The sequence below is a fragment of the Homo sapiens genome, chromosome 11 (assembly GCF_000001405.40).
Source record: "Homo sapiens chromosome 11, GRCh38.p14 Primary Assembly".
Lineage (NCBI taxonomy): Eukaryota > Metazoa > Chordata > Mammalia > Primates > Hominidae > Homo > Homo sapiens.
In genome coordinates, this window is record NC_000011.10 from 65,184,168 (window position 1) to 65,207,572 (window position 23,405).

General features: G+C 47.9%; 1 protein-coding gene across 6 annotated transcripts in view, besides 6 other annotated features; it reads left to right on the forward strand.

The window, feature by feature from the left end:
* The window catches only part of CAPN1 (calpain 1), a 30,634-nt gene that overhangs the window by 2,795 nt on the left and 4,434 nt on the right, over positions 1-23,405 (forward strand). For all 6 annotated transcript variants that reach the window (NR_040008.2, XM_006718698.3, NM_001198868.2 and 3 more), the window contains 10 exons: positions 1,750-1,883; positions 2,003-2,171; positions 3,048-3,131; positions 3,788-3,873; positions 4,247-4,321; positions 4,419-4,579; positions 20,516-20,691; positions 21,543-21,554; positions 22,296-22,507; positions 22,613-22,652. Coding sequence is in view for 5 of the 6 variants with exons in the window: in XM_006718698.3 (XP_006718761.1) it covers positions 1,750-1,883; positions 2,003-2,171; positions 3,048-3,131; positions 3,788-3,873; positions 4,247-4,321; positions 4,419-4,579; positions 20,516-20,691; positions 21,543-21,554; positions 22,296-22,507; positions 22,613-22,652 (1,149 nt within the window). In the remaining variant the exon portion in view is untranslated. The remainder of the gene's footprint in view (positions 1-1,749; positions 1,884-2,002; positions 2,172-3,047; positions 3,132-3,787; positions 3,874-4,246; positions 4,322-4,418; positions 4,580-20,515; positions 20,692-21,542; positions 21,555-22,295; positions 22,508-22,612; positions 22,653-23,405) is intronic.
* Positions 1,000-1,566: an enhancer, noted in NCBI's record as "NANOG-H3K4me1 hESC enhancer chr11:64952638-64953204 (GRCh37/hg19 assembly coordinates)". NCBI's record gives its function as "activates a minimal SCP1, AML or CMV promoter by ChIP-STARR-seq in primed H9 embryonic stem cells {active_cell/tissue: H9 hESC(primed)}" and the evidence as "EXISTENCE:reporter gene assay evidence [ECO:0000049][PMID:30033119]".
* Positions 2,133-2,699: an enhancer, noted in NCBI's record as "H3K4me1 hESC enhancer chr11:64953771-64954337 (GRCh37/hg19 assembly coordinates)". NCBI's record gives its function as "activates a minimal SCP1, AML or CMV promoter by ChIP-STARR-seq in primed H9 embryonic stem cells {active_cell/tissue: H9 hESC(primed)}" and the evidence as "EXISTENCE:reporter gene assay evidence [ECO:0000049][PMID:30033119]".
* Positions 4,071-4,617: an enhancer, noted in NCBI's record as "H3K4me1 hESC enhancer chr11:64955709-64956255 (GRCh37/hg19 assembly coordinates)". NCBI's record gives its function as "activates a minimal SCP1, AML or CMV promoter by ChIP-STARR-seq in naive H9 embryonic stem cells {active_cell/tissue: H9 hESC(naive)}" and the evidence as "EXISTENCE:reporter gene assay evidence [ECO:0000049][PMID:30033119]".
* Positions 15,688-15,888: a silencer, noted in NCBI's record as "peak1300 fragment used in MPRA reporter construct". NCBI's record gives its function as "represses an SCP1 promoter by STARR-seq MPRAs in K562 erythroleukemia cells {active_cell/tissue: K562}" and the evidence as "EXISTENCE:reporter gene assay evidence [ECO:0000049][PMID:32103011]".
* Positions 19,794-20,781: an enhancer, noted in NCBI's record as "H3K27ac-H3K4me1 hESC enhancer chr11:64971432-64972419 (GRCh37/hg19 assembly coordinates)". NCBI's record gives its function as "activates a minimal SCP1, AML or CMV promoter by ChIP-STARR-seq in naive and primed H9 embryonic stem cells {active_cell/tissue: H9 hESC(naive and primed)}" and the evidence as "EXISTENCE:reporter gene assay evidence [ECO:0000049][PMID:30033119]".
* Positions 20,823-21,012: an enhancer, noted in NCBI's record as "active region_4949". NCBI's record gives its function as "activates an Ori minimal core promoter by ATAC-STARR-seq in GM12878 lymphoblastoid cells {active_cell/tissue: GM12878}" and the evidence as "EXISTENCE:reporter gene assay evidence [ECO:0000049][PMID:35858748]".

The window sequence follows — 23,405 nt, forward strand, 5'->3', positions numbered from 1 at the left end:
GGAGGCCCCAGCCCTGCCCGAAGGACTCTTGGGTGTTCCCTCCTTCTGCCTGGTTAGAGAGCCCCTTACCCTACTCTGTCCTTGCCCGCCTTGCGCGGGTGGAGGTGGCCCTCGGAACCCAGGGTGCGGAACCCACAGTGCGGATCCACTTTGGCCCAGCGCCACACCCACCTGCTCCAGTCTGCAGGGGCGCAGTCTCGCCCCCTTCCCTCGCTCCTCCAATCCGCTCCTCCCTGGCCTCCGATTGGCCAGTTCAGTACCCGCCACCCACACTCTCCGCAACCTGGGCTCCTAGGGCCGCCTCCACCCCGCCCCGCCCCCCGTTGTCCTGGCCCCGACCCCTCAGATGGTACCTCGAGTCCTTGGTCGCTTCTGACCCCAGACGCCTTCGGCCCCGACCCTGCCCTGGGAAACGTGGCCTTTGTGGCATCTCAGAAACAAAGCCCGTGATTGTGAGAACCAGTCCTGCCCATCTTGTGGTTGTAGGATCTGGATGCCACATTTTCACTGCTCATCCAATGACACAGGTGCCCCTAACCCCCTTGAATAGGGAGGGAAGAGCCAGGGGGCCATGGCCTAAAAGGGGGCTAGTTCCGGAAAGCCCAGGCCCCAGAGCTTTTCCACCTCTCCGTGCCTGAGGAGGAACCCTGTTTGTTCAGTGACTCCCTAAAGGCTTTGCCTGTGCTCTTGTTTAAGTCTTCCGTGAAGAAGGCACCGCTGCTCCTTTTTATGGATAGGGAAACTGAGGCTCAGAGGCGATAACTTTTCCAGGATCATGTAGCTAGTATGTCTCGAGCATACATGTACATATCAAGTATACACATGTCTATATGTGGTATGCATGTATTAGTATACAGCAAATATGCAGGTATCTAGTATACATTGTACAGGCAAAGGAAAGCATCCCCTTAGCCCTCTGAAGGTTCACTGAAAAATCAACTCACAAAAGGAGGTTAGTAGGAGAAATGGCATACAAATTGATTAGCCTGCAGCGTGGGGTCGGGAACCACAGAGTGTTCACCCCAGCCCCACAATGGGTACAGAAGCCTATATACCATCCTGAGGTTACAGGAAGAATGGGGGCTCGAACATGGCCAAAACCAGTTTCTGGTGGTAAATCAGGTTATAGTGGCAAGACAGACTATGGAAGGGGGAGAAAAGGGGGCCTGGGTAGCAAAGGCAGTCTTGTTATGTAGATGAAACCTCACAGGTAGCAGCCCTCAGAGGGAATAGATGGTAATTGTTTCGTTCAGACCTTTAAAGGGTGTCAGGCTCTCAGTCTGACAAGGGAAGGCCTTAGAGAAAGCCTGGCTACATCAATGCAGATTTTCTCTACAGATGCAAATCTCCCCCACAAAAGACAGTATTACAGGGCTACTTCTGTTTGCAGACCCTCTGAACAGCTATCTCAAAATATGTTGAAGAAGTATATTTCAGGGTGAAATACTTTGATTTCCTTCAATACCTAGATACATGTATCTAGTATATCTGTAGCATACATGTATCTAGAGGTACACATGCATCTAGTATGTATCTAGTATATGTGATTTAGTATACATGCATCTACTATGTATCTGGTATACCTGACCTAGTATACATCTAGTATGTATCTAATTTACATGATTTAGTCTATGTGTATCTAGTATGTATCTGGGATGTAGAATCCTGCATCTAGGAAGGTAGGGGTAAGGATGGAGCTCAGGTCCGGGGGATTCCAAAGCAGGTACTCACCGTGCCCCTCCCCCACAGCTGTGGCAATTTGGGGAGTGGGTGGACGTGGTCGTGGATGACCTGCTGCCCATCAAGGACGGGAAGCTAGTGTTCGTGCACTCTGCCGAAGGCAACGAGTTCTGGAGCGCCCTGCTTGAGAAGGCCTATGCCAAGTGAGTAGCGGCTGAGGGGGCAACTCCAGCTTCCAGCTCCCCCTAGGGGTGGGGGCTCATGACTGTCTTCTCAGAGGGTCCTGCTTGATGCCAGAGTGCTGACCTGGAGCTGCCCACAGGGTAAATGGCAGCTACGAGGCCCTGTCAGGGGGCAGCACCTCAGAGGGCTTTGAGGACTTCACAGGCGGGGTTACCGAGTGGTACGAGTTGCGCAAGGCTCCCAGTGACCTCTACCAGATCATCCTCAAGGCGCTGGAGCGGGGCTCCCTGCTGGGCTGCTCCATAGACGTGAGTGTGCCCGGCCCCGATGCTTTGGTACCCTGGAACCCTGGTATCCTGACCTGTCACATTTTCTAAAATCCCCACCCAGGCTCCGCTCCAGACCCTGTCCTGCACTTAAGCTTCATCTCTGGATGCATACCCTGCCTCATCCATCACTTCCACCCCCCATGCCTGGTGTCGCTCCTGTCCTCACCTACCCACTCCTCCCCCAAAACTTCACACCTCAGCTCTTTCCTGTGCTTGTTTTCCCGTCTACCATGCTGTTTCCCTCATTCCTGTCATCTCAATCCATGCCATCCTCTGTCCAGTTCACCAGCCTCAGATTTCATCTCCTGGTCTCAGTTCCCACCCATCCCTAGCCTCAATCCCACACTCACTCCATTCCCACCCTTCCCTGCTCCTCTGTTCCCACACTCAACTCCGCTCCCCAGTCCTCAACGCCAGACTTGACCCCAGTATCACTGCCATCCGCAGCTCTAACCCCAGCTCCCATTCCCATTTCTAACTGACTCTTCTGTCCTCACGTCCTTCTCCGTGAGGCCCACTGAGGGCTGTGTGGCTCTGGTGGGCTGTGCACGGCTGTGTGTGTGCACATGCATGTTCGCACAGGTTCTGGTCAGCCCTGGCCAGTAGCAGTGTCAGCGGAGTGCCTGGGCTCCCCTGTCCCAGTGGCAGCATTGGTGGGGTACCCAGGCTACCCCTCTCCAAAAGAGCAGCATCTATATGTGGGGGTGTCTATAGGTGGGATCGGGGTCCCTGCTTGCTTCTCCTAGCAACTGTTGTATGTGCAAGTGGGAACGTCCAAGACCCTGAGTGCTGGGGGCTCATCTGATAGGGCGGGGGGACCTAGCCACTGACCACAGTGTGTGCCTCTTTCTGCAGATCTCCAGCGTTCTAGACATGGAGGCCATCACTTTCAAGAAGTTGGTGAAGGGCCATGCCTACTCTGTGACCGGGGCCAAGCAGGTACTGCCCTGGGTGGGGCCTTCCCTGAAGGGCGGTTCCTGCCCCCTGGCCTGTCCTTGCCTCTCTGGCACCTGACCAGGGCTGTGGAAGGTGCTGGCTCCTCCTTTCCCCTCCTGCAGCACCTTATCTCTCTTCTGGGGACACCCATCTGAGATGCCTATCATGTCCTGCCCTGACTGACTGTAGTTCATGTGTGCAGCTGCCTGCCTGGGCTGTGAATTCCAAGAGGACAGGCTTCATCTGGGTGCTGAGCAGGGCTTGGAGAGGATGAGGGTATGGGAGGCGGAGTGTTAAAGTGCGTGCATGGGCCAGGTGCACTGGCTCACACCTGTAATCCCAACACTTTGGGAGGCTGAGGTGGGCAGATCACCTGAGGTCAGGAGTTCGAGACCAGCCTGGCCAACATGGTGAAACTCTGTCTCTACTAAAAATACAAAAACTACCTGGGTGTGGTGGCAGGTGCCTGTAATTCCAGCTATTTGGGAGGCTGAGGCAAGAGAATTGAATTGCTTGAACCCAGGAGGCGGAGGTTGCAGTGAGCTGAGATCGCACCACTGCACTCCAGCCTGGGTGACAGAGCAAGACTCTGTCTCAAAAAAGAAAAAAAAAAAAAGTGCCTGCTGGAAGCTAGCACTGACAGGAGCTCTGGCAAATAGGTGAACTACCGAGGCCAGGTGGTGAGCCTGATCCGGATGCGGAACCCCTGGGGCGAGGTGGAGTGGACGGGAGCCTGGAGCGACAGGTGAGGGGCAGTGGGCACTGTCTGGAGTGCCTTGGGGAAACTGTTAGGTGCCCCGACATTTCTGCTCGGGACTCTACCAGGCCAGGCTGGACTCAGGATTGAGCAGAGGGGCCCATCTTCGCGCGACTGGGTCTGGGGGACTGCTCTGACAAAGCTCAGGCCGTGCGGGCCCCTGTGCCCAGCCGTCGGGTGTGTGCAGGGCATCAGACTGGCCCTGATGAGACCACCCCCTAGAAGCGGAACCTTGGCGCTTGACCTTGAGGAGGCCACCTGGGCTGGGCCGGGGGAAGACAGGCCAGGGTAGACAGGCCCCAGGGACAGAGGCCAGGCAGGTCAGTGCCCACCAGCCCTGGCAGAGCCCTGCTCCTCACAGCTCCTCAGAGTGGAACAACGTGGACCCATATGAACGGGACCAGCTCCGGGTCAAGATGGAGGACGGGGAGTTCTGGTGAGCGCCCCCTCCCCTTCTACCCCACCTCTCCACCCCTACACATCAGCTCTGTGCCCTGACGGGCTGTGCCTCACCTGTGTACCTCCCACCTCAGGATGTCATTCCGAGACTTCATGCGGGAGTTCACCCGCCTGGAGATCTGCAACCTCACACCCGACGCCCTCAAGAGCCGGACCATCCGCAAATGGAACACCACACTCTACGAAGGCACCTGGCGGCGGGGGAGCACCGCGGGGGGCTGCCGAAACTACCCAGGTGCACAGGGGCGGGCTCTGGGTCTTGCTGCTTCCTGGCTTAGGGGCTCCAGAAGGCACGTCATCTTACTGAGCCTCCGTTTCCTCACTTGCAAGATATAGGCTGATCTCTTGAATTTGCTTTGAGGAGTAAAATATTAAATGTCCTAGTAAATTTTAAAGAGGCATGCTTGACTCACCGTCTTGGGGCCTGAGCCCAGGGTGCTCATGAGGGGCAAAGATCTTGTGGCCATCCAGCCACCTGCCTGTCACTCCTTTCCTGGGCCCTTCCCTCCTGCCTTCGCTTTTTTTTTTCTGAGACAGAGTCTCACTCTGTTGCCCAGGCTGGAGTGCAGTAGCGTGGCCTTGGCTGACTACAACCTCCATCTCCCGGATTCAAGCAATTCTCCTGCCTTAGCCTCCCGAGTAGCTGGGATTACAGGCACCTACCATACCCAGCTAATTTTTGTATTTTTAGTAGAGGCAGGGTTTCTCCATGTTGGCCAGGCTGGTCTCGATCTCCTGACCTCAGGTGATCCGACCACCTTGGCCTCCCAAAGTGCTGGGATTACAGGCGTGCGCCACTGTGCCAGGTCCCTTCTTGCCTTCTCTTGCCACCTTTCCCTGGGCTTCTAGATCCATGTGGCTGATGTGGGCCACAGCCTGGCCTCTCAGTTCCTTGTCACTCTCACTGCAGCACGCTTTTTCTCTACCTTAGCTCAGCCCCCACCATGAGGGCACCAGAGCTGCCTTGTCTTGCAAACACCCGCTCTCTGACCTCCACCTTCGACTCTTTCCACTCCCTTAGTCTTCAACCCTTCGACCAAGCCAGTCCGTTGAACCCATCACTTGCGTACCATCCTGCCTCTCCCATCTTGCCTTCTCTCCTTACCTAGGTTAGAGCTATCATTTTAATCTTGTTCCTACAAACACTTTCAGTTCCCTGGCCCCTGTCTCCCATCATCTGGCACAAAACCCATCTCCACTGGCTTGGGAACCATTGAGTGTGGCAGGAGAGAAATCACATAACCGATGCCATATTTTCCCTGTAAATTCTTAGCCACAAATCTCAAATGAGCATTTTCCATAATCCCCAGCAATTCCACTACTGGTTAGTAACATTTCCACTCTCACCTCGATATCTCCCCACTGTTACTCTCACCTTCGGGCCTGGCCTTGCACTTCACTGAAAAGATAGACTTCATCCTGCAGGACACCTTGTGTTCCCACCTCCAAATCCCCCAGCCTTCTGCACCTGTGCCTGTGTCCTCATCGCCTCCCCACCTGCGACAGTGGCAGAACAGTCCCTGTTCATGGGGACCCCCACGTCTGCTCCAGATCCCATTCTCCCTCACCTCTGAAAGCATTTGCTCCTTCATCTGTCACCTCTCTCTCCAGTGTCATTACGGAGAGTCCTCTGTCTTAACACAAAGCAACCCTCTCGACCCCACTTCCCTGTTCATTTCTCCGCCCTCCTTCAAAGCACAATTTATCAGGAATTACCATACTCCCTATTTCCTTTCTCACTTCTGCTTCATTGCTTAACCCTTCCCAGTCCAGCTTCATCCCTACCATGCTGCTAAAACCACCCTCTCAAAGGTCACTTAAGCTTTGGCCTTGCCAGATCCGCCGCTGCTCTGTCCTCCTGTGCTGCATCCTCAGCACGGCTCCCTGCCCTCTGTTTTGAAGCATTCTTCTCCCTTGTAGGGATCCAATTTCAGTCTTTCCCCAAATAGATAACCACCGTTCCCTGTACCATTTATTGAGAAATACATCATCTCGTCTCTCCCCAGCAGCACTAGCGCCCTCAAGTAGTCCTGAGGTATGTGTTGGTCTGTTTCTGGACTCACCATTCTGTCCCTGGGTCTATCCCTCTGCCGATAACACATTGAATCCATTACTACAGATGTGTAAGTCCTGCTGTTGGACAGGGCAAATTCCTTCTTCAAGAGTCTCTTAGCTGTTTTTTTTGTTGTTGGTTTTTTTTGTTTTTGTTTTTGTTTTTTGAGACGGAGTCTTGCTCTGTTGCCCAGGCTGGAGTGCAGTGGCGCGATCTCGGCTCACTGCAACCTCTGCCTCCTGGGTTCAGATGATGCTTCTGCCTCAACCTCCTGAGTAGCTGTGATTACAGGTGCCCGCCACCACATCCAGCTAATGTTTGTATTTTTAGTAGAGACGGGGTTTCACCATGTTGGCCAGGCTGGTTTCAAACTCAAGTGATCCACCTGGCTTAGCCTCCCAAATTGCTGGGATTACAGGCGTGAGCCACTGCATCTGTCTTAGCTGTTCTTGACCTCTGTTTTTCCAAATGAATTTTAGAATCAGTTTACCAAGTCTTTTGAAAAACCATTTTGAGATTTTAATTTGGAATTACATGAAACCTATAGACCAATTTGGGGAGACTTGACATTTTTATAATTTTAAGTCTTATCCAAGGATATGGTGTATCTCTTCATTTATTTTGGCCTTTAATGTCTTTCAATAGAATGTTGTATTTTTTATCATAAAGAATTTATACATCTCTTGAGATTTAATGCTAGGTACACTATAATTTTGTTTCTATTATAAATAGTATGTTCTTTAAAATTACATCTCCCAAGTGATCTTGTTGCTCATACGATAACATGCATTTGACCTTTTAGATGTAGTTTTTATATCCAGCAAATTTTTTAAAACTAATTAATCTTACTGATTCATCTGTATGTATTTTTTGGCACGATCTTAGCTCACTACAACTTCTGCTTCCCTGGTTCAAGTGATTCTCGTGCCTCAGCTTCCCGAGTAGCTGGGATTACAGGCGTGCGGCACCACACCTGGCTAATTTTTGTATTTTTATTAGAGACAGGGTTTCACCATGTTGGCCAGGGTGGTCTCGAACTCCTGACCTCAGGTGATCTGCCTGCCTTGGCCTCCCAAAGTGCTGGGATTACAGTGAGCCACTGCGTCCAGCCCTTTTTGGTTTTCTAATTAGGAATATAGCATCTGCAAATAATGACAGATTGTTTCTTCTTTTCTAATTCTTACAACTTTTGTTACTTTTTCTTGTCTAATATGCTGCCTAGAACTGTAGAGCTTCCTGCTCTTGTTCCTCCCTTTTTTTTATTCTTATTTTTAGGAGCAACCCTATTAACTAAGCCTCACTCTTAAAGGGGAAGTTTTCACCACTAAGTACCTTTCTAATCTAGGTTTTTTGTGGATACCTTTTATCAGACTAATGAAGTTTAATATTGTTAAATACTTTGAATTGTCTATATTATGATGATAGTATGCTTTTTTCTTTTATTTATTAAAATGGTCCCAGGAATTTGTGAACAGCTTGGGCAATACAGTGAGACCTCATCTCTACAAAAAATTTAAAAAATTAGCCTGGTATGGTGGCACACACCTGTAGTCCCAGCCACTCAGGAGGCTGAGGAGGGAGGATCATTTGAGCCAGGGAGGTAGAGGCTACAGTGAGCCATGTTTGCGCCACTGCACTCCACCCTGGGCAACAGAACATGACCCCATTTAAAAAAAATAAAATGGTAAATTGCATTTGTTGCTTTTCTAACGTTAAATCAACTTTACATTCTTGAGATAAAAACAACATGGTCACGAGTGACGTTTGCCTGTTATTTTCCTTTCTTATACTAACCATACTGGTATCAGTGCTATGTTCTTCCTGTACAGTGAGGTGGGAAGTATCCTCTCTTTTTCTGTTTCCTAGAAGAGTTTACCTAAGATGGGAGTGATTTGTTGCTTGAATGGTTGGTAGAACTTGTCTGTAAAGCTGTCAGGCTTGCTTTTTTCTTTGTATGAAGATTAATGATATTCAGTATTGAAAGTTAAAGGTTATAGAATTGTTCAGATTTTCTGTTTCTTGAGCCAATTTTGATGAGTTGTATTTTCTTTTGTTTTTTCTTTTTCTTTTTCTTTCTTTTTTTTTTTAAGAGAGACAGGGTTTTTTAGAGAGAGGTTACTCACTGCAACCTCGAACTCCTGAGCTCAAATCCTGCCTCAGCCTCCTGAGTAGCTGGGACTACACAGGTGTGAGCCTCTATGATTGGCTAATTTTTTATTTTTATAGAGATGGGGGTCTCACTATGTTGCCCAGGCTTATCTCGAATTCCTGGGCTCAAGTGATCCTCCCACCTTGGCCTCCCAAAGTGCTGAGATTACAGGCATGAGCCACTGTGCCCAGCCCTGAGTTGTATTTTCTAATAATTTATTCTTTGCATCTGTTTTCAAAGTTATTAGCACAAAGTTATCCTTAATATACTCTTTTTTTTTTTTTTGAGACAGAGTCTTGCTCTGTCGCCCAGGCTGGAGTGCAGTGGTGCCATCTCAGCTTACTGCAAGCTCTGCCTCCCGGGTTCACGCCATTCTCCTGCCTCAGCCTCCCGAGTAGCTGGGACTACAGGTGCCCACCACCACGCCTGGCTAATTTTTTTTTTTTTTTTTGTATTTTTAGTAGAGATGGGGTTTCACCATGGTCTCGATCATCTGACCTTGTGATCCTCCTGCCTCGGCCTCCCAAAGTGCTGGGATTACAGGCGTGAGCCACTGCACCCAGCCCCCTCTTAATATACTCTTATGTCTCGTGTATAATAATGTCCCCTTTTTATGCATGGGATTGCTCATTTGCATTGTCTCTTTTGTCTTTATTAATCCTGCAAGAAGTTTGTCAATATAAATCTTTACAAATAAATGACTTTTGGCCAGCTGCACTCAGGAGATCGAGACCATCCTGGCCAACACAGTGAAACCCCGTCTCTACTAAAAATACAAAAAATTAGCCGGGCGTAGTGGCAGGTGCCTGTGGTCCCAGCTGCTTGGGAGGCTGAGGCAGGAGAATGGTGTGAACCTGGGAGACAGAGCTTGCAGTGAGCCGAGGTCGCGCCACTGCACTCCAGCCCGGGCAATAGAGCGAGACTCTGTCTCAAAAAAAAAAAAAAAAAAAAAGACTTTTGACTTTGTTGGTCCTTTGTATAGTATTTCTTTTTCTTTTATTATTTTTACTTATTTATTTAGAGATGGGGTCTTGCTCTATTGCCCAGGCTGGAGTGCAGTGGCACAATCCTAGTCCTCTGTGATCCTAGGTCACTGCAGCCTAAATTCCTGGCTCAGGTGATCCTCTCACTTCAGCCTCCCAAGTGGCTGGGATTATACGTGTGTGCCACAGTGCCTGGTAGTATTTTTTTCATATATCATTAATCTTTACTGTTTATTATCTCATTCCTTCTACTTTCTTTGGATTGATTTTTTTTTTTTTTTTTTTTTTTTGAGATAGTCTCACTCTGTCACCTCGGCTGGAGTGGTGCGATCTTGGCTCACTGCAACCTCCACCTCCTGGGTTTAAGCGATTCTCTTGCCTCAGCCTCCCAAGTAACTGGAATTACAGGCATGCGCCACCATGCCCAACTAATTTTTTTTTTTGTATTTTTAGTAGATACCAGGTTTGACCATGTTGGCCAGGCTGGTCTTGAATTCCTGACCTCAACTGATCCGCCCTGCTGTGGGCTCCCAAAGTGCTAGGATTATAGGCGTGAGCCACCACGCTCGGCCTGGATTGACTTTTTGACTTTATTTTATGACTTCTTAAATTAGATGCTTATTTCGTTAATTTAGATTTTTAAAATTTAAGCAACTAAAGTGATAAATTTCCTTTTAAGTACATCGTTAATTAAGTTACACAATTTTGATACATAGTGTTTTTGAAAATCGTGAATGAGTATAATTCACACACCAGAAAATTTGCACTTTTAATGTGTGAAATTTAGTGGTTTTTAGTGTACCCACAGCGTTGTGTAAGCATTGCCGTTATCCAGAGCATTTCTTCACCGCCCCCACCCCGAAAATCCCGTAATTATTGGCCATCACTTTCTATCCCTTTCTCCCTAGCAACCATGAATCTACTTTTTGTCTCTATAAATTTACCTATTCTGGACTTTTTTGCCTTAGCATAATGTTTTCAAGCTTCATTTATGGTGTAGAAGTACTTCATCTCTTTTTTATGGCAGATTAATCTTCCATGATATGGATATACCACATTTTGCTGATTCATTCATCAGTTGATGGACATTTGTGTTATTTCCAGTTTTTGGCTATGTGGAGAATGTTCCTGTGAACATTCATGTGCATGCGTTTCAACATATGTTTTCAGTTCTCTGGGGCCTATAACTAGGAGTGAAATTGTTGGGCCATAGGGTAATTCCATGTTTAATTTTTTGAGGAACTGCCAATTGTTTTCCAAAGCAGCAGCACCATTTTATATCCCCACCAACAACATGTGAGGGTTCTGATTTCTCCACATCCTCTTCAACACTAGTTATTGCTCTTCTTTTTGATTATAGCCATCCTAGTGGGTGTGAAGTGGTATCACTGAAGTTTTTTGGGGTTTTTTTTTTTTTTTTTTTTTTTTTTTGAGTCTGGATCTTGCTCTATCACCTAGGCTGAAGTGCAGTGGCGCCATCTCAGCTCACTGCAACCTCTGCCTCCCAGGTTCAAGTGATTCTCCTGCCTCAGCCTCCCTTAGTCCCTAGCTGGGACTACAGGTGCACACTGCCACACCCAGCTAATTTTTGTAGTTTTAGTAGAGACAGGGTTTCACCCTTCAGACCAGCCGTGTTGGTCAGGCTGGTCTCAAACTCCTGACCTCGTGATCTGCCCACGTCAGCCTCCCAAAGTGCTGAGATTACAGGTGTTAGCCACCGCGCCCGGCCAATTTTCTGAATTTTTAAAATCATGAACTGATGTGCTTTTTGTGCATCAATTGAGATGATCATTTTGAGGTTTTTTTCCCCTTCATTCTATTAATGTGGTATATTACATTGATCAACTTTCCTTTGTTGAACTACCCTTGCATTCCTGGGATAAATCCCACTTCATCATGGTGTATATTCCTTTTAATATGCTGTTGGGTTGGGTTCATCGCTTTTTTTGGGAGGGGGTGGATTTTTGCATCTATATTCATAAGTGATATTGGTCTGTAATCTTCTTTCCTTGTGGTGTCTTTATCTGGCTTTAAGGTAATGCTGGCCTCCTGGGATGAGTTAGGAAGTGTCCCCTCATCTTCAGTTATTTAGAAGAGTTTGAGGATTGGTGTTAATTTGTCTTTAAATGTTTGGTGGAATTTCGAAGCCATCTGGTCCTGGACATTTCTTTGGTGAGAAGTTTTTTGTTGTTGTTGATTCAGTCTTTTTATTATTATAGGTCTATTTAGATTTTCTATTTTTCCTAGGTCAGTTTTGGTGCTTTGTTTCTTTCTAGGAATTTGTTCTTTTTGTCTATATTATCTAATTTATTATCATATAATTGTCTATAGTGTTTCCTTGTAATCTTTTTATTTTTGTTAGGCTGGTAGTGATGTCCCTCTTTAATTCCTGATTTTAGTAATTTGAGTCCTCTGTCTTTTCTCCTGTTTAGGCCAGGTAAAGAATTGTCAATTTTGTTGAGCTTTTCAAAGAACTATTGGTTTTATTGATTTTTCTTTATTGTTTATTCTCTATTTCATGTATTTGGACTTTAATCTTCATTATTTCTTTTCTTCTGCTTGCTTTGGGTTCAATTTGCCCATTTTCTTTTTTCTTAAATCCCAAGAACCAGTGAAAGTTCATTTTCTAGTTTCTTTTTTTAATTTAATAAATCCATTTTTTATTTCATATATCATAGTGGGACATATTTTTGGGGTACATGTGATATTTTGATAACGTATACAATGTGTAATGATCAAATCAGGGTAATTGGGATCCATCGCCTCAAACATTTATCTTTTCTTTGTGTTGGAGACATTACAATTCTTCTAGCTATTTTGAAATATACAGTAAACTACTGTTAACTATAATTTCCCCTGCCTTACTGTCAAATACTAGAACTTATTCCTTCTATTTAACTGCCTTTTCTAGTTTCTTAAGGTGGAAGGTTAGGTTATTGATTTGATAGCTCTCTCTTTTAATATATGTACATTTTTCATGGCCATGCTATGTAATTTCTCATTACCATTATCATCTCTTTCCGATAAACTAGTTATTTTAGAAGAATGTTTTTTAAAACATAAAAAAATTTCTAACTTAATTTTCTCATAGTAAAAAAATGTGACCTACATAAGATCATAGCTTTGAAGTGAACAGAAGCTGGTGCTATGGCTCAGTGTATGATGAATTTTCATAAAGGTTCCTTCGTTCTTGAAAAGACTGGCTAACAAATTGTGACTGTAGGTGAAGCACTCCTAAGTATTTTAAATATGATAATTAGCTTAACTCACACTGAGCCTATGAGGCAGGAACTATTATTATCCTTATCTTAGGGATAATAAAGAAACTGAGGCACAGAAAGATTTAAGCAACTTGATGAAGTCACTGATCTATGAAGTGGCAAAACTGGGATTTGAACCCAGGCAGAGGGATCCTGAAGTCTGTTCTCTCAGCCAGTACGCTATTCTCTGAGTACTAGGGGGATTGTTCTATAATTGTCCATTATATCAAACTTATTGTTTTGTCTGCTTAATCTATCAATTACTGAAAGAAAGAAAGAAAGATGATAAAAATCTTATAACATCCTAATGGCTTTGCCAATTTCTCTCTGTATTTCTATCAATTATTTTTCATTATATATTTTGAGCTATGATATTTGGTACATCACATTTAGAATTCTTATAAGCGCCTAGTGAATTAAACATTTTTTAAAATCTAGTGACCACCTTCATCTCTAATAATTATTTTTACTTTCAAGTCTATTTCAGCCAATGTTTCTATAGCTAATTCAGGGTTTTTTTTTGTTGAATTTTTAAAATATATCTTTTTATACTGTTTGATGTCCAATCTTTCTATAGCCCAATGTTTTGTTTTCTTGTAAACAGCACTAGCCAGCTTTTTAGTAATCCAGTTTGAAAAATTTTGTCCACGCTGGGCACAGTGGCTCACGCCTGTAATCCCAGAACTTTGGGAGGCCCAGGTGGACGGATCACCTGAGGTCAGGAGTTCGAGACCAGCCTGGCCAACATGGTGGAACCCCATCTCTACCAAAAATACAAAAATTAGCCGGGCAAGGTGGGTAGGTGCCTGTAATGCCAGCTACTAGGGAGACTGAGGCAGGAGAATCACTTGAACCTGGGAGGTGGAGGTTGCAGTGAGCCAAGATTGTGCCATTGCACTCCAGCCTGGGTGAAAAGAGCAAAACTCTATCTGAAAAAAAAAAAAAAAAAAAAAGACAAAGGAATATTTTGTCCTTTGACTAGAGAGTTTAGTTCATTTACACTCACAGTGATTAATGCTGTATTTATTTCAGCTGACTTACTGTGTTTACTTATTTTCTGCTTGTCTTCCTGTCATGCTGCCTTTTGTGTTGAGTTCCTGCTTTTCTCTCTACTAATTTTTTTCTCTGTGAGTTTGAAAGACATAAGAGTTTGCTTAATACATACTAAAGTTAGTTAATCAGTGTCTTTTTTTTTTTTCTCTGAGACAGGGTCTGGCTCTGTCACCCAGGCTGGAGTGTGGTGGCGTGATCTCAGCTCACTGCAACCTCTGCCTCCTGGGCTCAAGCCATCCTCCCACCTGAGCTTCCCGAGTAGCTGAGTGGTACTACAGGTGCACACCACCATGCCTGGCTAATTTTTGCACTTTTTTGGTAGAGATGGGGTTTTGCTCTGTTACCCAGGCTGGTCTCAAACTCCTAGCTCAAGCCATCCACCTGCCTCGGCCTCCCAAAGTGCTAGGATTACAGGCGTGAGCCACTGTGCCCAGCCCTAATCAATGACTTTACCCTCCTCGTGAACAATGCATAAACCTTAGAAATTCAGCTTGAATCACCCCTTTCCTTTGTATATTATGCTATGGTGGGCTAGTATTTTAATTCTAAAGTTTTTTTTTCCTGCCATAATTTAAACATCATCATGATTTGAGATAGCCCATGTTATTTGGATTACCCACAAATAAAAGTATTTTTGTTCAGCATTCTCAGACCTTTCATCTGAGATCATTTTCCATCCACCCGAAACATATCCTTTTGTATTTCCTTTGTTTTGTTTTCTTTTTGAGCAGGCTTGATCTCCTGGTCTCAGGTGAGCCTCCCACCTCAGTGTCTCAAGTAGCTAGGACTACAGGCACATGCCACCATGCCCAGATAATTTTTTTTGGGAGGGTTGGGGGGCAGTTGACGGAGTCGCGCTCTGTCGCCCAGGCTGGAGTGCAGTGGCGCGATCTCCACTCACCGCAACCTCTGCCTCCCAAGTTCAAGCGATTCTTCTTCCTCAGCCTCCCAAGTAGCTGGGATTCTAGGTGTGCACCACCACATCCAGCTAATTTTTGTATTTTTAGTAGAGATGGGGTTTCACCATGTTGACCAGGCTAGTCTCGAACACCTGGCCTCAAGTGATCCACCCTCCTCAGCCTCCCAAAGTGCTGAGATTACAGGCATGAAGTACCACACCTGGCCCTTTTTGTATTTGTATTTTTATTTTTTAGCAAGGGTCTGTTGGTTATAAACTTTCTCAGTGTTTGTCTAAAATGCCTTTATAGTGTGCTTATTCTTGACAGTTCTCTGGATATAGAATTCTGGCTTGACATTATTTTCAGCCTCTCAAAGACACTATTAGTCCTGTTCTGCTTCCATCATTGCTATGTGAGCCAGGAGTCTGTCTACCTTGCCTTCTGGAAAAAATCTTAATTTTTTTTTTCTTTCATACTATACGATTCACCATGATGTGTGGAGGTATGGATTTCTTTTCATTCTGCCTTGAATGTATTGAACTTCCTGGCTATGAATTGATACCTTTCAACAATTCTAGAAAATTTGTAGTCATGATCTTTGAGAATATCACCTCCTTCCCACTCTCTGTATATTCTAATAAAATCTAAACTGGACCTTCTCACTCAATCCTCTCTTTCTCTTAACCTTGCTTTTAGATTTCCCATCTCTTAGTGTCTCTGGATTGCATTCTGGGTTGTTCCTTCAGCTCCTTTCTCAGTTCACTAATTTTCTTTTTTGCTCTGTCAAATCTGTTAGTTATTTCTTCCAAGAACTTAATTTCAATTTTAAAAATTTTGTTTCTAGAAGATGTAATGGATCTTTTCAAATCTGTTCATTTTTGCTCAAATTTTCAAACTTTTCATCTATTTCTTTAAACATAGTAAGCATAGTCTTATATTCTGTGTCTGATAAGGTCAATATCTGAAGTCTTAGTGGTCAGTTTTTGTCCACTGTGGCTGCTGCTCAGTTATCACGCCTTGTTTGCTTGTGAGATCTCTGCCCCGTGAGAGAGTTCTTTGAGTCCTCAGATAAAGTTAAATTGCTCCGGGGTGTTTCTGCTAGTCACCTGGAATGCCACCAATCCAGAACACCTTTTTCGTTCTTTTTTATTTATTTACTTATTTTTTGAGACACAGTCTTGCTCCGGCTGGAGTGCAATGGCATAACCTCAGCTCACTTCAGCCTCGACCTCCCAGGCTCAAGGAATCCTTCCACCTCAGCCTTCCCAGTAGCTGGGACTACAGGCACACACCACCATGCCCAGCTAATTTTTGTAGAGATGGGGTTTTACCACCTCGCCCAGGCTAGTTTTGAGCTCCAGGACTCATGCGATCTGTCTGCTTCAGCCTCCCAAAGTGCTAGGATTACAGGCGTGAGTCTGAGTCACCATACCCAGCTTTGTTCTTTTTTTTTGGAGATGGACTCTCACTCTGTCGCCCAGGCTGGAGTGCAATGGTGTGATCTCGGCTCACTGCAACCTCTGCTCCCCAGGTTTAAGCAATTCTCTGCCTCAGCCTCCTGAGTAGCTGGGATTACAGGCGTGTGCCACTATGTCTGACTAATTTTTTGTATTTTTAGTAGAGACAGGGTTTCACCATCTTGGCCAGGCTGGTCTTGAACTCCTGACCTCGTGATCCACCCACCTTGGTCTCCCAAAGTGCTGGGATTACAGGTGTGAGCCACCGTGCCCGGCCGCCTTGTTCTTTTTTTGAGACAGTGTCTCATTCTGTCACCCAGGTTGGAGTGCAGTGGTGCAATCATAGCTCACTGCAGCCTCAGCCTTCTGGGCTCAAACTATCCTCCCAAGTAGCTGGGACTATGATAGAGACACACACCACACGCCCAGCTAACTTCTTACATTTTTTGGAGAGATGGGGTCTTGCTAGGTTGGCTAGGCTGGTGTTGAACTCCTGGGCTCAAGTGATCCTCCCACCTCAGCCTCCTGATTTACCTGGGACTACAGATCCATGCCACCATGCCTGGCTTTTTTTTTTTTTTTTTTTTTTTTTTTTTTGAGACGGAGTCTGGCTCTGTCACCCAGGCTGGAGTGCAGTGGCGCAATCTCAGCTCACTGCAAGCTCCTTCTCCCGGGTTCGTGCCATTCTCCTGCCTCAGCCTCCCCAGTAGCTGGGACTACAGGTGCCCACCACCACGCCCGGGTAATTTTTTGTGTTTTTAGTAGAGATGGGGTTTCACCATGTTAGCCAGGATGGTCTTGATCTCCTGACCTCATGATCCGCCCATCTTGGCCTCCCAAAGTGCTGAGATTACAGGTGTGAGCCACCACGCCTGGTCGTCTGGCTCATTTTCTTACTTTTTGTAGTGATGGGGTCTCCCTATGTTGCCCAGGCTGGTCTTGAACTCCTGGGCTCAAGCAGTCCTCCCACCTCGGTCTCCCAAAACACTGGGATTACAGTCCATCAGCCACTGTGCCTGGTGCAGGACGCTTTTAAGACTAAATTATCTTCTTAAGGTTTCACAGGCAGTGTGAATTAAAACTGAAAGGTCATGTGAAGCCTGGCTTGAGGTTATTTTTTCCTTCCCTCCAGGGAGGTTTAATTTTCTTTCTTTCTTTTTTTTTGTTTTTGAGACGGAGTCTCGCTCTGTCGCCCAGGCTTGAGTGCAGTGGCGCGATCTCGGCTCACTGCAAGCTCCGCCTCCCAGGTTCATGCCATTCTCCTGCCTCAGCCTCCCGAGTAGCTGGGACTACAGGCACCTGCCACCACGCCCGGCTAATTTTTTTGTATTTTTAGTAGAGACGGGGTTTCACCGTGTTAGCCAGGATGGTCTCGATCTCCTGACCTCGTGATCCGCCCGTCTCGGCCTCCCAAAGTGCTGGGATTACAGGCGTGAGCCACCGCGCCCGGCTTTTGTTTTTGTTTTTTTTTTTTTGAGACACGGTCTTGGTCTGTTGCCCAGGCTGGAGTGCAGTGGCATGATCTTGGCTCACTGCAACCTCCACCTCCCGGGTTCAAGCGATTTTCCTGCCTCATCCTCCCGAGTAAGTGGGACTACAGGTGCCCACCACCATGCCTGGCTAATTTCTGTATTTTTTCAGTAGAGAATGGGTTTTACCATGTTGGCCAGGCTGGTCTCAAACTCCTGACCTCAAATGATCCACCCGCCTCGGCCTCCCACAGTGCTGGGATTACAGGCGTGAGCCACTGCGCCCAGCCTAATTTTCTTTCATACTTCATTGCTGACATTCCTGACGGGGGTTCCAGTTTAATTGCAGGAACTTCCTGTTGGATTCTCTACCTCAGGTAGATGTTTATCATCTGCTTCTATACCCTGGGGTTCAGGGGTCTACAGAAGCCCTTTAGCATTATTTACCTTGCAGGGTTCCTACTTTCTATTTTTTAAAAATATCTTTATTGATACTTAATTCACATACCATACAAGTCACCTATTTAAAGTTGCAATTTAAATATACTATTAAATATACAATTTAAATGTACTGAAGTATATTACGATTTTATTTATTTATTTATTTGTTTGTTTGTTTGTTTATTGAGATGGAGTCTCGCTCTGTCACCCAGGCTGGAGTGCAGTGGCCAGATCTCGGCTCACTGCAACCTCTGTCTCCTGGGTTCACGCAATTCTCCTACCTCAGCCTTCCAGGTAGCTGGGATTACAGGCACCTGCCACCATGGCCACCTAATTTTTGCATTTTTAGTACAGACGGGGTTTCACCACGTTGGCCAGGCTGGTCTCAAACTCCTGACCTTAGGTGATCCAGCTGCCTCAGCCTCCCAAAGTGCTGGGATTACAGGTGTGAGCCACTGCACCTGGCCATATATTACGATTTAAATATACTATTAAATATACAATTTAAATATACTATTTAAAGTATATTCACAGAGTTGTGCAACCATCACCACATCAATTTTAGAACATTTCATTATCCCAAAAACAAATGAGGTACTCCTTAGCCATGACTCCCCAGCCCTCCCAGCAGCCCTGGCAACCACAAATCTACTTCTTATCTCTATGGATTTGCCTACTGGGATATTTCATGTGAACAGGATCATATAATACATGGTCCTTTGTGGCTGGCCTTTTTCATTTAGCATAATGTTTGCAAGGTTCCTCCATGTTGTAGCATGGATCAGAATGTTGTTCCTCTTTGTTGCCAAATAATATCCCATTGTTTGGCTCCATATTTTGTATATTCACTCTTCAGTTGATGGATAATTGGGTAGTTTCATCCACTCAGCTGTTATAAATAATGCAGCCATTAACATTCTCTCTTTTTTTTTTTAAATGGAATCTTGCTCTCTTGCCCAGGCTGGAGTGCAGTGGCACGATCTCGGCTCACTGCTACCTCTGCCTCTGGGTTCAAGCGATTCTCCTACCTCAGCCTCCTGAGTAGCTGGGATTACAGGCATGTGCCACCACGCCCAGCTAGTTTTGTGGGTTGTTTGTTTTTGAAACTGAATCTTACTCTGTCGCCCAGGCTGGAGTGCTGTGGCACGATCTCAGCTCACTGCAACCTCCGCCTCCCAGGTTTAAGCGATTCTCCTGCCTCAGCCTCCCAAGTAGCTGGGACTACAGGCATGGGCCACCATGCCCAGCTAATTTTTGTATTTTTAGTAGAGGTGGAGTTTCACCATATTGTCCAGGCTGGTCTCAAAACTCCTGACCTCAAGTGATCCGTCTGCCTGGGCCTCCCAAAGCGCTGGGATTACAGGTGTGAGCCACCGCGCCCTGCCACACTCTTATGAACAAGGCTTTGCATGGACACGTTTTCATTTCTCTTGGGTATAGAGCTTGGAGTGGAATTTCTGGGTCATATGAAGCTCTGTGTTTAACCTTTTGAGAAAGTGCCAGAATGTTCTTCGGAGCAGCTGCAACATTTTACATTCCCACCGGCATCCTGTGAGGTTCCCATCCCTCCACATCCTCACCCAAGTTGTTATTATCTTTATTATTATTATTATTATTGTCAATGGAGGGCAGGGGATGCAGTGGCTTATTAGTGCCTTTAAAAATAAGTTTTGCAGTTTACCGTTCTATCCCGCACTGGGTTGTTTTAGTCAAGAAGGTTCTTTAGGCAGCAAAATCACCCAACTGCCAGAAATGCAAGCCCCTGCCTTCCCTTGCTGGCTGGCTGTGGCCTCCTGTCGGACCCCTGCTTTTTCTCTTGCCTTCTTCTAAGCTGTTGTCCACGCAGCACTCGAGCCACCTTTTAGAGTCCTAATGCAGTCACATGCCTCCTCGCTGCAAGCTGTGGGAGGGTTCTTACCCTTTGCTTCAGTCCACACGCCCTAGTCCCTGGCCGGCTCCTGGGAGCTCTGCGGCCTCCCTGGGTCTCCGTGTTTCCTAGAGCCTCCGTAAGTGCTCCCTGTCCGCAGATGCGTGGGGCCCTTCCTCACCTCTGCTCTGGGGTGCCCTCCGCCTGGCTTCTGCTTCTCAGCAGCTTCCCAGGGCAGCCCCTTCGGGTCTCAGCGCATAGGTCCCCTACTCTGATCTACTCCTGCTTGCTTTTTTTTGCAGTTGCTCTGCTCGCTAACCTAACGGACTTGCTCAGACTTAAGCCTCTAGTTTCCAAATGCAGGCCGTGAGGGCATGGACCGAGCCTGGCCCAGCCTGCCCATCACCCTGCATGTTCCAGGTGCTCAATAATATTTGTTGAATGAATGAATGCGTGCACAGGGACGTGCTGAGGAGGCTTGGGGGCCAATTGGCTCTGCCCCGCCCTGCCTCTGATCCCCGCCTCCTCACCTGCCCGCAGCCACCTTCTGGGTGAACCCTCAGTTCAAGATCCGGCTGGATGAGACGGATGACCCGGACGACTACGGGGACCGCGAGTCAGGCTGCAGCTTCGTGCTCGCCCTTATGCAGAAGCACCGTCGCCGCGAGCGCCGCTTCGGCCGCGACATGGAGACTATTGGCTTCGCGGTCTACGAGGTCAGGAGGGTGGATCACCGGTGGATCTCACTGAGCAGGCAGAGGACCTGGCGCCCCCGACCCGCAGTGCAGGCGGGCTTCCACCAGGGGGCGCCAGGGACCATGCCCTTCCCCACAAATTCCCCTCCACTCCCCCCACCATCCTGAGGGCTGGGAAATCTCAGCCTCCAGGAGGCACCTGCTGAGGCCCTCTGGCCGAAAGAGAGGAAGGGGGTTGGCTCAGGGAAGGGAGATTCTGGGATTCACCTCACGCTTAGAGGGCGGCCTGCTGCTCTTGGAGGAGGGAGCTGGCTCAGCTGATGCCTGGGAGTACTGAGCCCTCCGTCTTGGAAGCTGTGAGCAGAAGCTGGCAGGGGAAAGATAGGGGATAGGGAGGGCCTGTCGGCCAAGGTGAGGCTGTGCCAGTCGCTCTGGGATTAGAACTCCTTGCTCTTGCCCTGTATCTGCCCTGCTTCACACACTGCCCTCAAGACAGGGAGAGAAACTTCTGGACCTCCCTGGTCGCAGTCTTGGCCCACACCCAAACCCCCTGGCAGCAGCCTGCGGTGGCCCTTTCCTGTCCCTGGGCTTTGGAACATTGCAGTTGGCCACCCCGGGGGCTGGCCTGGAGCCTCTGACTCAGAATGGAGTCCTAGGGCAAGCATTCCCAGGACCAAGAGGACCCTGCCTGAGCCCTCCCTCCTGGGGCCCTGCTGTGGTGCAGGGACCAGATCTGGGTCCCCAGGGCCCTGCCTTCTGCCTCCTTATCCCATCAGTCCCGTCTAAGAACTCAAGACCTCTGCCCAGCATGCACTGTGACCCCGCCCTGGGACAAACACACATCTCTGACTTCCCCTGTCTCTCTATTGCAGGTCCCTCCGGAGGTAGGTGTGGCACCATGACCCACCTGCAGTCACACACCCCTGATGGTGCCAGAGGGGAGCAACCCAGTGGCAAACCCACCCTGGCCTGGAGAGCTAAGAAGTCACCTTGTTTCACTGCTTGAAAAATGCTTCTCCCCACCTGTTCAGTGGGCAGAGCAAACATTGCTCTCCTGAGGGTCAGCACAGGTAGTCAGTGAGGGAGCTGGATTTGAGCCCTGGTCCTCAGAGCCCCTGTCTGACATGTACACATGAGGCTTTTCCTGCCTTGCCATCTACACCAAGTAAGTGCCAACTAGGGCGGTCCAGCAATGTCAGGAGCAGGGCATTAGACAGGCTGAGAGTTCTGTACCCTTGAGCAGTTGCTTAAGCTCCGAGCCTGTGTTTGTGTCTGTAAAATGGGTGTAACAGCAGAACAGCAAATGAGGTGCCGAGTACCCTGCAGTACCTGACCTGGGGAAAGCTCCCAGTGATAATAATGACAGTGTTATTGAAACACATGCCTAATCTGCAATCCGGTGCTCCTCTCCTCTACCCTCTGCAGTGAGTAGGGTTGTTACATTTTACAGATGAGGAAACTGAGGCAAAATGTCTTGTTAGGGTCACACAGGCTGTGAGTGAGCCATGCCCCAGCTCTCCAGCCCCTTGGCCAGGACAAGGAGCCTGGAGTCTGGGTCTGGGGGTGGCCCCTGAGGGTGGGCTGAGTGGGCAGCTGCAGCCCTGCTCCCTCCTCCCTCCCACCAGCTGGTGGGCCAGCCGGCCGTACACTTGAAGCGTGACTTCTTCCTGGCCAATGCGTCTCGGGCGCGCTCAGAGCAGTTCATCAACCTGCGAGAGGTCAGCACCCGCTTCCGCCTGCCACCCGGGGAGTATGTGGTGGTGCCCTCCACCTTCGAGCCCAACAAGGAGGGCGACTTCGTGCTGCGCTTCTTCTCAGAGAAGAGTGCTGGGACTGTGTGAGTCATGGACTGGCCCCTGCCACTCTCCCCTCTCCCAGCCTCCCCTCTCAGGCCCTCTGCTGTCCCCCTCTGACTGGCTCCTTTCCTCCCCACTCTCTGCAGGGAGCTGGATGACCAGATCCAGGCCAATCTCCCCGATGAGGTGCGTGGTCCCACCCCACCAGGCCCCGTCCTCCTCTCTTCCTCACCCCTGGGTGTGTGATGGGGACCCAGGTGTCCTGTCCCCTGAGTTCCTGCTAACAGGGAAGATCCCCTCCTGGTGGAAGCCATAGGAGTAGTGCTAATCCCTCATCCGCCCAGCACTTTACAGTTTGCAGAGGACCTGTGATACTAATGGCACAGGCCCTGAGCTCTCACCCGGTGGCGGGTTTGTGCTGAGCACTTCACCTGTGTTACCTCATTTCCTCCCCACATCAACCCTGTCCGGGTCTTGTTACCATACCTCCTCTGAATGGGAAATTCAGGTTCACAGAGGTTAGGGAACTTGCCTGAGGCCATACAGTAGGGATCCAAACTCTTGCCTTTTTTTTTTTTTTTTTTTTGAGAGAGTCTCACTCTGTCACCCAGGCTGGAGTGCAATGGCGTGATCTCGGCTCACTGCAACCTCCGTCTCCTGGGTTCAGGTGATTCTCCTGCCTCAGCCTCCTGAGTAGCTGGGATTACAGGCGCACGTTACCACACCTGGCTAATTTTTGTATTTTTAGTAGAGACGGGGTTTTGCCATTTTGGTCAGGCTGGTTTCAAACTCCTGACTTCAAGTGATCCACCCACCTCGGCCTCACAAAGTGCTAGGATTACAGGTGTGAGCCACCGCACCTGGCCCAAACTCTTGCCTTTTACTCACTGAGCTGAACAGCATCCCCTTCATTTAGGTCACATGAGTGCTGGATATGGG